The sequence below is a fragment of the Homo sapiens genome, chromosome 4 (genome assembly GCF_000001405.40).
Source record: "Homo sapiens chromosome 4, GRCh38.p14 Primary Assembly".
NCBI classification, from domain to species: domain Eukaryota; kingdom Metazoa; phylum Chordata; class Mammalia; order Primates; family Hominidae; genus Homo; species Homo sapiens.
The window spans coordinates 89,184,370-89,199,671 of NC_000004.12; the positions used below are offsets into that span (position 1 = coordinate 89,184,370).

At 37.4% G+C, this 15,302-nt stretch overlaps 1 long non-coding RNA gene across 1 annotated transcript; it reads left to right on the forward strand.

The window, feature by feature from the left end:
* Positions 1-12,149: 12,149 nt before the first annotated feature.
* On the forward strand, positions 12,150-13,967 carry LOC124900834 (uncharacterized). The gene is made up of 2 exons (XR_007058425.1): positions 12,150-12,289; positions 13,837-13,967. It is a non-coding gene; the product is annotated as an uncharacterized LOC124900834 (long non-coding RNA).
* Positions 13,968-15,302: the final 1,335 nt, after the last annotated feature.

Here is a 15,302-nt window from a genome sequence, read left to right on the forward strand (position 1 = left end):
ACAAAAACCATTTATTCCAAAAACATTACATTCTATTAAAATGGAAAGCACACACAGGGGAAGGTGAGGCAACTTTAAGATCTGCAACTGCAGAAAGCTATTCTTAACCCAGCACTGGAGGGACAATGGGAAAAGGTGTTTTTACCAAAGCCTAGGCCAGCAGCCTCAACAGCTGGAATCCAGAAGAGATCCTACTGGAATGGTCACCTCCCTTTATCTTCTCTTCTCACCTTTCTATCTTCCCTCGGTGCCTCCTATTGTCTAAAATTACCCAGAAGCAAGTTGGGAATGGAATTTGGGAAAACATTCCCAGGGTTTAGCTTCCTATGGTACAGAGAAGAGATGGGAGAGAAGGCAAATGGATCAGAGAGCAAATAGGTAAATAACTGGCACTATCACATAGCAAAGTAGTGTCCCAGCTGAAACACCTAAGATACAAAATAGTTCTAAATGCAAGTAAGTCAAAGTAGGAGTATTCAGTGAAACACTTCGTACAGCAGAATTCTTATAGCCCATTTGGATTTTTTTTCGGTACTTTACTGCATTAGATATTGAATTAATTACTTTACATCTGCTAATTCTTTTAACCCTCCATAAGGGGTTAGGTGCTATTATTCATTTAAAACAGAAAAAGTAAGGCTTAACAAGATAAAGTAATTTTCCCAAAATTATTCAGTTAATTAAGCAACAGAACTGAGATTTGAACCAAGCTCCTACAGGCTCCCATGCTCTTTCCATTACATCATGATATAAAAATAATTTACCTCCAAATAAGTGTATTATGCCTAGCAAAATAAATATATATACTGAGAAGTTTGAGCTACATCAACTAAAAATTATAATTTACTTAATCAAATTAGATAAAACTAATATGAATCCAGCATATTTGGTCTCAGATTTATGTTTTCTCAACGTTTCACTCAAATCATTTAGGGAACTTGTGAGTAATTTATATTTCTGGGCTTCACTTCAGACATACTAAGATTTCCTGGGAGCAGTGCCTGGGGAGCTGCATTTGAAATAAGGTCCTCAGTGGATTTTTAAGCACCTTAACATTTAACAATCCCTATACTATCTCTGTATTTGGTCATAGTAACTATACTAACAAGGATTATTATTATTATTATTATTATTTTTTGAGATGGAGTCTCGCTCTGTTACCCAGGCTGGAGTGCAGTGGCACGATCTCTGCTCACTGCAAACTCTGCCTCCCAGGTTCAAGCGATTCTCCTGCCTCAGCCTCCTGAGTAGCTGGGATTACAGGCATGTGCCACCACGCCTGGCTAATTTTTGTATTTTTAGTAGAGACAGGGTTTCACCATGTTGCTCATGCTGGTCTTGAACCCCTGACATCATGATCCACCTGCCTCGGCCTCCCAAAGTGCTGGGATTACAGGCGTGAGCCATCGTCCCCGGCCACAAGGATTATTTTTAAATAGCTTTCCTTTACAAAAAAAAATTCAAAATCAACCAAAACGGAAAAAAAAAAAAACCCAAAAAACACCCAAGAATCAACAATATACTGTCTGCTTATAGAGCCTTAATTCAAAGATGATGAGGCTATTCAGGTTGGGAATACAGTTGACCATTGAACAGCAAGACTTTGAACTGCATGGGTCCACTTCTATACAGACTTTTTTCAATAAATCTGCCTGCTTCTACTGTCTCGCCTTCTAACCACCTCAACCTGTTCTACCTCTGCCATCTGAGACAGCAAGACCAACCCTTCCTCTTCCTCCACCTTCCAGCCTACTCAATGTGAAGACAACAAGGATGAAGACCTTTATGATGGTCCACTTCTACTTAATGAATAGTAAATATATTTTCTCTTATGATTTTTTAAATAGAATTTTCTTTTGTGTAGCTTTATTGTAAGATTCCAGCATGTAATAAATATATGTTAATCAACTGTTTATGTTATCAGTAAGGCTTGCAGTCAACGGTAGGCTATAAATAGTTAAATTTTGGGGGAGTGAAAATTACATGCAGTTTTTTTTATCATTATACTTTAAGTTCTGGGATACATGTGCAGAAGGTGCAGGTTTGTTACATAGGTATACATGTGCTATGGTGGTTTGCTGCACCCATCAACCCATCACCTAGGTTTTAAGCCTTGCATGCATTAGGTATTTCTCCTAATGCTATCCCTCTCCTTGCCCCCCATTCCCCAATGGGCTCCAGTGTGTGATGTTCCCCTCCCTATGTCCATGTGTTCTCATTGTTCAACTCCCACTTATGACTGAGAATATGTGGTATTTGGTTTTCTGTCCCTGTGGTAGTTTGCTGAGAATGATGGTTTCCAGCTTCATTTATGTCCCTGCAAAGGAAATGAACTCATTCTTTTTTATGGCTGCATAGTATTCCATGGTGTATACTAGCCACATTTTTTTTATCCAGTCTATCATTGATGGGCATTTGGGTTGGTTCCAAGTCTTTGCTGTTGTAAATAGTACTGCAATAAACATATGTGTGCATGTGTCTTTATAATAGAATGATTTATAATCCTTTGGGTATATACTCTGTAATGGGATTGCTGGGTCAAATGGTATTTCTAGTTATAGATCCTTGAGGAATTGCCACACTGTTTTCTGCAATGGTTGAACTAATTTACACTCCCACCAACAGTGTACAAGCATTCCTATTTCTCCACATCCTCGCCAGCATCTACTGCTTCCAGACTTGTTAATAATCACCATTCTAACTGGCATGAGATGGTATCTCATTGTGGTTTTGATTTGCATTTCTCTAATGACCAGTGATGATGAGCTTTTTTTCATGTTCGTTGGCTGCATAAATGTCTTCTTTTGACAAGTGTCTGTTCATATCCTTCATCCACTTTTTGATGGGGTTGTTTGTTTTTTTCTTGTAAATTTGTTTTCTTTCCTTGTAGATTCTAGATATTAGACCTTTGTCAGATGGATAGATTGCAAAAATTTTCTCCCATTCTGTAGGTTGCCTGTTCACTCTGATGATAGTTACTCTTGCAGTGCAGAAGCTCTTTAGTTTAATTAGATCCCATTTGTCAGTTTTGGCTTTCGTTGCAATTGCTTTTGATATTTTAGTCATGAAGTCTTTGCCCATGCCTATGTCCTGAATGGTATTACTTAGGTTTTCTTCTAGGGTTTTTGTGGTTTTAATCTTATGTTTAGGTCTTTAATTCATCTTGAGTTAATTTTTGTATAAGGTGTAAGGATGGGGGGTCCAGTTTCAGTTTTCTGCATATGGCTAGCCAGTTTTCCCAACACCACTTATTAAATAGGGAATCCTTTCCCCATTGCTTGTTTTTGTCAGGTTTGTTAAAGATCAGATGGTTGTAGATGTGTGGCGTTATTTCTGAGGCCTCTGTTCTGTGCCATTGGTCTATATATCTATTTTGGTACCAGTACCATGCTGTCTTGATTACTGTAGCCTTGTAGGATAGTTTGAAGTCAGGTAGTCTGATGCCTCCAGCTTTGTTCTTTTTGCTTAGGATTGTCTTGGCTATATGGGCTCCTTTTTTGGTTCCATATGAAATTTAAAGTAGTTTTTTCTAATTCTGTGAAGAAAGTCAATAGTAGCTTGGTGGGAATAGCATTGGATCTATAAATTACTTTGGGCAGTGTGGCCATTTTCACAATATTGATTCTTCCTATCCATAAGCATGAAATTTTTTTCCATTTGTGTCCTGTCTTATTTCCTTGAGCAGTGGTTTGTAGTTCTCCTTGAAAAGGTCCTTCACTTCCCTTGTAGGTTGTATTCCTAGGTATTTTATTTTCTTTGTAGCAATTGTGAATGGGAGTTCACTTACGATTTGATTCTCTGTTTGCCTATTATTGGTGTATATGAATGCTTGTGATTTTTGCACATTGCTTTGTATCCTGAGACTTCACTGAAGTTACTTATCAGCTTAAGACATTTTTGGGCTGAGATGATGGGGTTTTCTAGATATACAATCATACAATCATGTCATCTGCAAACAGAGACAATTTCATTTTCTCTCTTCCTATTTGAATACTCTTTATTTCTTTCTCTCGGCTCATTACCCTGCCAGAACTGCCAATACTATGGTGAATAGGAGTGGTGAGAGAGGGCATCCTTCTCTTGTGCCAGTTTTTACAGGAAATGCTTCCAGCTTTTGCCCATTTAGTATGGTATTGGTTATGGGTTTGTCATAAATAGCTCTTATTATTTTGAGATATGTGCCATCAATACCTAGTTTATTAAGAGTTTTTAGCCTGAAGGGGTGTTGAATTTTTCAAAAGCATTTTCTGCATCTATTGAGATAATCATGTGGTTTTTGTCATTGGTTCTGTTTATGTGGTGGATTATGTTTATTGATTTGCATATGTTGAACCAGCCTTGCATCCCAGGGTTGAAGCCGACTTAATTGTGGTGGATAAGCTTTTGATGTGTTGCTGACTCCTGTTTGCCAGTATTTTCTGAGGATTTTCGCATCAATGTTCATCAGGGGTATTGGCCTGAAAGTTTCTTTTTCTGTTGTGTCTCTGCCAGGTTTTTATATCAGGATGATGCTGGCCTCATAAAATGGTTTAGGGAGGAGTCCCTTTTTTTCTATTGTTTGAAATAGTTTCAGAAGGAATGGTACCAGCTCCTATTTGTACTTTTGGTAGAATTTGGCTGTGAATCTGTCTGGTCCTGGGCATTTGTTGGTTGGTAGGCTATTAATTACTGCCTCAATGTTTGGTCTATTCAGGGATTCGACTTTTTCCTGGTTTAGTCTTGAAAGGGTGTATGTGTCCAGAAATTTATCCATTTCTTCTAGATTTTCTAGTTTACTTGCGTAGAGGTGTTTATAGTATTCTCTGATGGTAGTTTGTATTTCTGTGGAATCAGTGGTGATATCCCCTTTATCATTTTTTATTGTGTCTATTTGATTCTTCTCTCTTTTCTTCTTTATTAGTCTGGTTAGCACTCTATCTATTTTGTTAATCTTTTCAAAAAACCACCCTCTGGATTCATTTATTTTTTGAAGGGCTTTCATGTCTCTATCTCCTTCAGTCGTGCTCTGATCTTAGTTATTTCTTGTCTTCTGCTAGCTTTTGACTTTGTTTGCTCTTGCTTCTCTAGTTCTGTTAATTGTGATGTTAGTTTGTTGATTTTAGATCTTTCCCACTTTCTGATGACGGCATTTAGTGCTATAAATTTCCCTCTTAACACTGCTTTAGGTGTGTCCCAGAGATTCTGGTACATTGTGTCTTTGTTCTCATTGGTTTCAAATAACTTATTCATTTCTGCCTTAATTTCGTTATTTACCCAGTAGTCATTCAGGAGCAGGTTGTTCAGTTTCCATTTAGTTGTGTGGTTTTGTGTGTTTCTTAATCCTCAGCTCTAATTTGATTGTCTGAGAGGCTTTTTGTTATGATTTCCATTCTTTTGCATTTGCTGAGGAGTGTTTTACTTCCAATTATGTGATTGATTTTAGAGTAAGTGGTAAGTGGTGCTGAGAAGAATGTATATCCTGTTGATTTGGGGTGGAAAGTTCTGTAGATGTCTATTAGGTCTGCTTGGTCCAGTGCTGAGTTTGAGTCATGAATATCCTTGTTAATTTTCTGTCTCGTTGATATGTCTAATATTGACAGTGGGGTGTTAAAATCTCCTACTATTATTGTCTGGGAGTCTCAGTCTCTTTGTAGGTCTCTAAGAACTTGTTTTATGAATCTGGGTGCTCCTGTATTGGGTGCATGTATATTTAGGATAGTTAGCTCTTCTTGCTGCATTGTTCCCTTTACCATTATGTAATGCCCCTTTTTGTCTTTTTTGAGCTTTGCTGGTTTAAAGTCTGTTTTATCAGAGACTAGCATTGCAACCCCTGCTTTCTGTTGCTTTCCATTTGCTTGGTAAATAGTCCTCCATCCCTTTATTTTGAGTCTATGTGTTTCTCTGCACATGAAACGGATCTCCTGAATACAGCACACTGATGGGTCTTGACTCTTTATCCAACTTGCCAGTCTGTGTCTTTTAATTGGGGCATTTAGTCCATTTACATTTAAGGTTGATATTGTTATGTGTGAATTTGATCCTGTCATCGTGATTCTACCTGGTTATTTTGCACGTTAGTTGATGCAGTTTATTCATAGTGTGGTTGGTCTTTATATTTGGTATGTTTTTGCAGTGTCTGGTACTGGTTTTTCCTTTCCATATTTAGTGCTTCCTTCAGGAGCTCTTGTAAGGCAGGCCTGGTGGTGACAAAAGCATTTGCTTGTCTGTAAAGGATTTTATTTCTCCTTCGCTTATGAAGCTTAGTTTGGCTGGATATGAAATTCTGGGTTGAAAATTCTTTTCTCTAAGAATGTTGAATATTGACCCCCACCCTCTTCCGGCTTGTAGGGTTTCTGCAGAGAGATCCACTGTTAGTCTGATAGGCTTCCTTTTGTAGGTAACCTGACCTTTCTCTCTGGCTGCCCTTAACATTTTTTCCTTCATTTCAATGTTGGTAAATCTGATGAGTATGTGATTCCACCAAATATATAAAAGTTTGGGACTTTAATTGTCTTAAAATACTTACATTTCATTTTTAGTCTTCCAATATTGCTCTCAGTCTTATATATTAGATATATGATATATTTAAAAATCATACAATATATTCATATATAACATATGTATAATATATATGCCCCCCCCCACATACACACAACATCTAATCCAAATCACAGAACATTTACTCATTTAATTGTTCAACAAAAATTTTTTTGTACACCTACAATCTGTAGATAGTATCATAGGCTCTTGGGTTGTATCAGTGAAAAAGTGAAAAACTTCTACCCTAGTGGAGCTTGCATTTTAGCAGATGGAGACAATAAACAATAAGCATAATACATAACCAAATTATAAAGTATATTAGAAGGCAGCAAGTGCTACTGAATAGAATAAAAGGTAAGGCAGAATAACAGAGATGAGTGGGTTGAAGCTTGTAATTAGAGTGGTCAGTGTAGGCCTCCTTTGAACAAAGCCTTGAAGAAATAAGTTACTTGAGTTTTATAAATATGATCATATATACTATATAAAATACAATCCCTATTGCTATTATTCTCTTCCACTTGATTTTTCTAAGGTGAATGAATTTTCCTTTATTATGTGTGTATCTTCTCTTTTTTGGACTCCAATCTTCTTGAGAGAAAGAAGTGAGTCTTATTCTATCTTTCTTTTTCAAAACCCTAGGGCTATGCTTTGTATAATATTTGGAGATTATGAATTGAATTGTTTAATAAGATATGTTTAGAAACTGAAACATCTAATGACAGTTTTGGCAATAGGATTTTAATTATTAAAATAAAAACAAACCATTGCCATTTTTCTTGAACTTGTTTCTTTAACACTCTGTATAAAAACATCCAGTGCAGCCAGGCATGGTGGCGTGCACCTGTAATCTCAGCACTTCGGGAGGCCGAGGCAGGTGGATCACTTGAGGCCAGGAGTTTGAGACCAGCCTGGCCAACATGGCGAAACCCCATCTCTATTAAAAATACAAAAAGTACCTGGGCGTGGCGGTGCACGCCTGTAGTCCCACCTATTCAGGAGGCTGAGGTGGGAGGATCTCTTGAACCCGGGAGGTGGAGGTTGCAGTGAGCCGAGATCATGCCACTGCACTCCAGCCTGAGCAACAGAGTGAGACTCTGTCTGAAACAACAACAACAGCAGCAACAAAAATCATATCCAGTGAATTTCCAATTTTCCTGTTTTTTAAGGACTGGAGGAAGTATTACCAATAATGGAGTCCTAGTATGCACAGAAGGAAATAGAATAAGTCCTAACTTTGTTTTTTCATCTTAAAAAACAATAATTAATAGTATACGTCCTCACAAGTAGCCTACAAATGTAAATATGAAACAGGTAAGTAATAAAAATCCAGGATCTTCAATCCATACAAGTTTTTAAGAGTATAAGTTAGACTCTAGGGTTTTGAGTAGTGTATATAATTCTTGGGTGTTTGGACACTTACTACACTCTCACAGTGTAGGCTCCTTACAATTTCATTAGAGCCAAGAGAGACAGAGAGCAAAAGAAAGAAAGAGGAGTTAATTTACAGGTAATAGTCATAAATGGAATATTTCCTAAAAAGAAGTCAAACACCTTTGGAGATGGAGTTGACAAAGTAAACTTTGAGAAACTGTAGACAGAGAGATGCAAAGAAATAATCATTCCAACTATAGGCAATAATGTCTATGAGGAAGATTCATGAGAAAGAGAAGATTAGCAAAATACTGCAGAGCAGTAAAATAAAATACCCTATGTCACTGGGCATGGTGGCTCGCACCTTGTAACCCCAGCACTTTGAGAAGCCAAGGGGAAGGGTCATTTGAGCCCAGGAGTTGGAGACCAGCTTGGGCTGGTAACAAAGTGAGACCTTGTCACTAGAAAAAATAAAAAAAATTAGCCCAGCATGGTGGAGCATGCCTGTGGTCCCAGCTACACGGAAGGCTGAGACAGGAGAGTCGCTTGAGACCAAGGAGGTTGAGGCTGTAATTGCACCACTACACTCTAGGCTGGGCGACAGAGGGAGACCCTGTCTCAAAACATAAATAAATAATAATAAATATACCCTATGTCTATATATCTGTATCTGTATCCACATCTATAACTATGTTTGGAACAAATAGGAACATACACAAATCTGTGTACTAATCTGTCTTTTCAAATAAGTCCTCCAGCATCCTTATGATAATTGGAAGCTAACAGCAGAAGCACACTCCATTATTTGTGCTTTGTTGTGTATAATATAAATATATCCAAAATTCAAAATTAATTTAATAGTAAACTACATAAAAGTTGTGGCTATTGTAGCAATTCTTTTTTTTTTTTTTTTTTTTTAGATGAAGTCTTGCTCTTGTCGCTCAGGCTGGAGTGCAATAGTGCGATCTCAGCTCACTGCAACCTCTGCCTCCCAGATTCAAGTGATTCTTCTGCCTCCCCGAGTAGCTGGGATTACAGGCGCCTGCCTCCACACCCAGCTAATTTTTGTATTTTTAGTAGAGATAGGGTTTCACCATGTTGACCAGGCTGGTCTCAAACTCCTGACCTTAGGCGATCCACCCGCCTCGGCCTCCCAAAGTGCTGGGATTACAGGCAAGAGCCACCATGCCTGGCCCTATTGTAAAAATTCTTAACTAGTGATCATTCTCATTTAATTTTTTTGTCCTTATAGAAACCTGTCAGACACAATTAAAGATACACTTTGGAACATGGCAGTCCTGGCTTTGTTACTCAGAACTGACAGTTCAATGAAGCACCATCCTTATAGAATGTTGCCTCTACAAATTGTGCTTCTGATGGCACGTTAAGTATTTTAGAAGTAATGATTAAAAAAAAAGAAAGATTTAGAGTCAATTCTCTCAACCTATGTAACCAATACAGTAAACAACAACAAAAACCACAAGATCCTTTCAAAGGGTAGATTATTACTTATTTCTTTCTTGGCATACATCTGGACTTTAGCTCAAGAGTGGTCTTGAAAGTTAGTAATCCCTTATTAACATTTTGTTACTTGGTTTCTATCTGTGAGAATGCTAAAAGCAAAATTAAAATTAAAAAGATGCTAGAGAAGTTGCTAAGCACTTTGATATGAGTGCTGCACGGTATCAGCAGGCTGCAATCTGATCTGGATGTGTCTGACACAGCAGCTATTGGAATATGTATGAAGAATTTCTGAGAAATTTGTAGGAAATGCCTTGTAAATTATCGACAACAATTCCGACCTTTGCTCACCAATCAGGAACAGCCACCAAAATGACAATAAAACATTCTCCACAGCCTCCTGGAGAAATTCCAGAAGTCTCAGTAGAGCCACAGGAAAAAGGAATTTTCCTGCCTAGATTGGAACTAAATTTATGGAAAGGAGTAACAACTAAGGAACAGCATAAAAAACTTATGATGCTTACTGGCTTCTTCCCAAGAGAATACAAATGAACAGAAAATTCAAAGAGCACAGATCTACTTTCTTCTGTCTTTACCTTTTTAAAAATATGTAAAATTATCAAGTTTCATTTTAGCTCTTTCAAAAGACTAGTGCTCATTAATTAAAAGGGAGAATAAAAAATAGCTACCACAAGCTTGGAGCAATTACGTATCTTTCTCTCTCTTTCTGAATAAACAAAATTTTCACTTTATTCACAGTGCACAGAGAAACATAGTTTTGAGCTCAATTTTCCTTCCATTCTGCCCAGATTTTTGCAGTGAATTTGAAAAAGTGATTTCTTTTTGTACTTCTTTTACCAACAAAAATGAGTTTAAAGGATAATCTTTTGACCCTGGTATTTGATGGCTTTAAAAGTGCTGGAATTTCAGGAAAAACTGTGTTATATAAATTTTAATATTGTCAGGTTGTTCTTTGACAATGTATTATTTTAGATATGCTGTTTTGGGGAATCACATAGAGAAAACACATTTTAGGAAAAATGAAATTGTGTTAAGAAACTATTATTTACTTGTTACTGAATTGGTAAATGCTTATTGAGTACCTGCCATGAGCTGGGCATGTGAATGGATACTATGCAATCTTCAAATAATATGACATTCATGATCCAATGCAGTATTCAAAGAATTATATGTTTCTGTTAATCAGGCCATATTTGTGGTGGTTAATGACATGGGTTCTAGAATCAGATGGCACTGGGTTTGAATTCAGGCTTTACATTTACTGGCTGTATGGCCTCGAGCAAGATGTTTAAACTGTTTAAGCCTCAGTTTGCTCATCTGTAAAATAAGAATAATAATAGTACCTACCTCATAGGGTTGTTGTGACACTTAAATGAAATAATATATATGGCATAAAGACACTAATTTATTTTTAATTTTCCTTCATGCCTAAAAATCAGCAGGAATGTAATGGTTACCTTTTTATTTCCTTTTTTCTTCCCTCTTTCTTCTCATCTCCTTCCCTCCTTTTCCCTCTTTTGTCCTTTTCCTCTTTCTCTCCGAAGCAGCCTACATATTTTGGTGTAGATGGTGGGATGAGGTGTGAAGATAATTGCCTTTTATGGCTTTTCTTGTGTGTGTGTGTAAACTTGAGCTCATCGTGGGAAATATACTATAGAAAGAAGAGGAAAACAGAAGTAACAGGAAGGAGGAGAAAGATTTTTCCTAGACTGGGAAGAGCCCAGAGATATGTGGGTTCTGTGATGAGCAGGAACTTGAGTCCAGATCTGTGGCAGTGGCGAGAGGTGGCATGACCTTGGTAGGCGCTCACATGGTGCTCCCTGTACGTGGGGCCTGGCACCCAGACTTCCAGCCTCTCAACATCCTTACAACCAGGCTTGGCATGGACATGCTAGAACTGCCTGTTTTCAAAAGACTAAAGTGTTTCAACAATTTTATGTGAGTTTATAGTAAATAGCTGTCATAAAAGTGGGCCAGATGATAGAGATTGGTCCTCATTTTCTGGAAATCCCATAAACCTTACATATTTTTTGGTGATCTTGGGAAGAAAGAAGTACCCATCAATAATTACTGCAATTGAATTCCTAGTCAGTTTGGCAGGAATTTGGTTTGGCATATAATTTAATTTGATTTCAAGGCTATAAGCATATATAACTTTCCAAATAGCAGGTACATGTATATAGAGCATTCAAGATAGTACCTGGCAAATAGTAAGCACTTAATAAATGACACCTATTACAATGGCATCTTTAATTCCCATAGAAAACATTTTATTACTTTAATCTTTCTAAGGCTGTAGCTGCTTGCAAAGGTTGTTAAGTTTCCTGTGCTACATGAATCACCAATATCTGAGTAGTTCATGTGCTCTCATGTATTGTATAATGGACAATGGCATCCCAGTTGCAGCACAATAAGAATGTATATCACATCCAGTTTAAATTGAGTGTTCCAAGTATGTTAAGATATGGAATGGGAGTTGTCAATTAAATGGAGCTATCACTCCATTATCAACCAAGATTCCAATGCATATGCTAACGTCAATGAGTTAGAGATTCCAGAGTGAGACAGTTAATAGACCTGTGAGTTTCTCCCTGCTCTCCTATAATTGAGCTTTGAGGCCTTATGCTGAACAGAAGTTATCTAGGTGGAATGGAATAAATCCCCAGGGTTTCTAACCAAGCCCAAGTCTAACCCAGCTGCAGGAAAGCTCATTTAACTTGCAGACCTTTGCATCAGCTTCTCACAAGCTCCTCCTTCCTGAGGATTGTGTTCTCAGCATTCATCTCTCACCCTCACCATGGAACCGTACTCTGATGAGCATCTAAGAAACACAGAAACTCAGAAATGAAACCATGTGGCTCTGGCACTGCTGACATAGAATCACTGATATTTCAAATATCAGACTTCTCAAAAAGAAGTATGTAAACTCCCTATTCCTGTAATTGCTCAAATTACTATCTTTGAACACTTATATATTTCTCTGTTGGACCTGATTAAAGTACCAAGAAATTATATTTTACTAAGTTTTCTAAAATGAACATTTGAAAAGCCTCATGTTAAACTAAAATCCCTACTTTTTCTGTAGAAGTTTGCCTTTTGGATAGAGCATGGGAAAATCTGAACTAAACAAACAGGTGAGAAAATAGAGGCAAAGAGAGGTCAGAGTCATATGGTTAAACATTGGCAAAGCATGAGTTTAGACTCAGACAGTCTGGCCCTAAGCCCGATTTGACCATTGTGCTGTACGTTTGTTTGTTTGCTATTTACACTCACATTTCACCTTTTCCAAGTTGCTTATTCATGCCCTTTGCCCATTGTTCTGTTTTCCTCAGATATATGCAAGAGTCCTTGGAATGTTAAACTTTTGCCACATACTTGTTGCAAATAGTTTTCCTAGATTGTCCTTTATGCTTTACGTTGTTATGTGTTATGTGTTTTGAGGGTTTTAAAATTTTGTTATTTAAAATGTTTTTGAGCCTTTTGTCTATCAGCCTTTTGACACATTTAACAAGCATTTTAACTATTCAAATCACAAAAATATTTGTCTTTTTCATTTATAAATTTTTTTTCCTTTTTTAACTTTAATTCTTGACTGTATGGAATTCATTTTGGCAAAAGATAAATCGTCAACTGAATTTTTTCTCTCAAATGACTATGCAGTAGTCAAAAAAGAAGTTCATTGATTAATAAATCTTTTAACACTGATTTAAGTTACAGCTTTTGTCATATATTAAATCCTCTCATAGAGTTGGATCTCTGTCAATATTATCTGACTAAACTTAAACTGCATTGTTTCATGCGTTGTTTCATGATTTTATTTTTATACCCTGTAATAGCCAGTACCAAAGGTCCCTAATTCATTATTCTTTTCTGGAAAGAAATGGCCTGTTTTGACTCAATGATATGGTTTGGATTTGTGTCCCTTCCCAAATCTCATGCCCAGTTGTAATCCCCAGTGTTAGAGGAGGGGCCTGGTGGGAGGTGATTGGATCATGGGGGCAGAATCCCCCTTGCTGTTCTCATGATAGCGAGTGAGTGCTCAGGAGATCTGGTTGTTTAAAAGTGTGTAGCCCTGCCCCTTTCTCTCTTTTGCTCCTGCTCCAGCTGTGTAAGATGTACCTGCTTCCCCTTCACCTTCCTCCATGACTGTAAGCTTCCTAAGCCCTCCCCAGCCATGCTTCCTCTACAGCTTGTGGAACCCTGAGCCAATTAAACATCTTTTCTTGATAAATTACCCAGTCTCAGATAGTTCTTTATAGCAATGTGAGAATGGACTAATACACTGTATATTTGTTTTCCTTGCCAAATTAGTACATTGAAATCTTAATCCCCACTGTGATGGTCTTAGGAGGTGGAGACTTTGGGAGGTGATTAGGTCTTGAGGGTACGGCCTTCATGAATGGGATTAGTGTGCTTATAAAAGAGACCCCAGGAAGCTCTCTAATCCTCTTGCTGTCACATTAGGGTACAATGAGGAGTCAGGAGTCTGCAACATGGAAGAGAGCTCTCACCAGAATCCGATCATGCTGGCACCCTAATTTCAAATTTCCAGCCTCCAGAACTGTAAGAAATAAATCTCTGCTGTTTATAAGCCACCCAGTTTATAGGACTTTGTTGTGGTATCCCAAACTACGATACTTACTGACTGCTCTTTCTGTAAACGTGCTATTCCAGGGAAATTTAAGAGTAATTTTAGAAACAAGATCTCCTGTCTACCCAAGTTCCAGTGAAATTTTTATAGGAACTGCATTGATATCATTAAGTTGATTGATTTGGATGGAACTGAAATCTTTAAATTATCAAATTTTGTCATCCAATAACATGAGTTTTTTCATTCATTCGTCTTTTAATAGAGTTTTAATCATAGGTTTTCCACATTTCATACTAAATCTGTTCATAGATTTTGTTTTATCCGGTTATTATGAATAATATCTTTTCCTTTTTTGTATTTTCTGATTTTTGTTTTACAAAGGCAAGTTTTTGATTTTTTTAGTGTATTTTAAAATAAATACTAATTAAACTATTTTAAATAATAACTAACTGTGTTATTGAGCCCTCTTTTTTATTATAGTTTAAGTTTTAGGGTACATGTGCACAACATGCAGGTTTGTTACATAAGTATACATGTGCCATGTTGGTGTGCTGCACCCATTAACTCGTCATTTAACATTAGGTATATCTCCTAATGCTATCCCTCCCCTCTCCCCCCACCCCACAACAGGCCCCGGTGTGTGATGTTCCCCTTCCTGTGTCCATGTGTTCTCATTGTTCAATTCCCACCTATGAGTGAGAACATGCAGTGTTTGGTTTTTTGTCCTTGCCATAGTTTGCTGAGAATGATGGTTTCCAGCTTCATCCATGTCCCTACAAAGAACATGAACTCATCCTTTTTTGTGGCTGCATAGTATTCCATTGTATATATGTGCCACATTTTCTTAATCCAGTCTATCATTGTTGGACATTTGGGTTGGTTCCAAGTCTTTGCTATTGTGAATAGTGCTGCAATAAACATACGTGTGCTTGTGTCTTTATAGCAGCATGATTTATAATCCTTTGGGTATATACCCAGTAATGGGATGGCTGGGTCAAATGGTATTTCTAGTTCTAGATCCCTGAGGAATCGCCACACCGACTTCCACAATGGTTGAACTAGTTTACAGTCCCACCAACAGTGTAAAAGTGTTCCTATTTCTCCACATCCTCTCCAGCACCTGTTGTTTCCTGACTTTTTAATGATTGCCATTCTAACTGGTGTGAGATGGTATCTCATTGTGGTTTTGATTTGCATTTCTCTGATGGCCAGTGATGATGAGCATATTTTCATGTGTCTTTTGGCTGCATAAATGTCTTCTTTTGAGAAGTGTCTGTTCATATCCTTTGCCCACTTGTTGATCGGGTTGTTTGTTTTTTTCTTGTAAATTTGTTTGAGT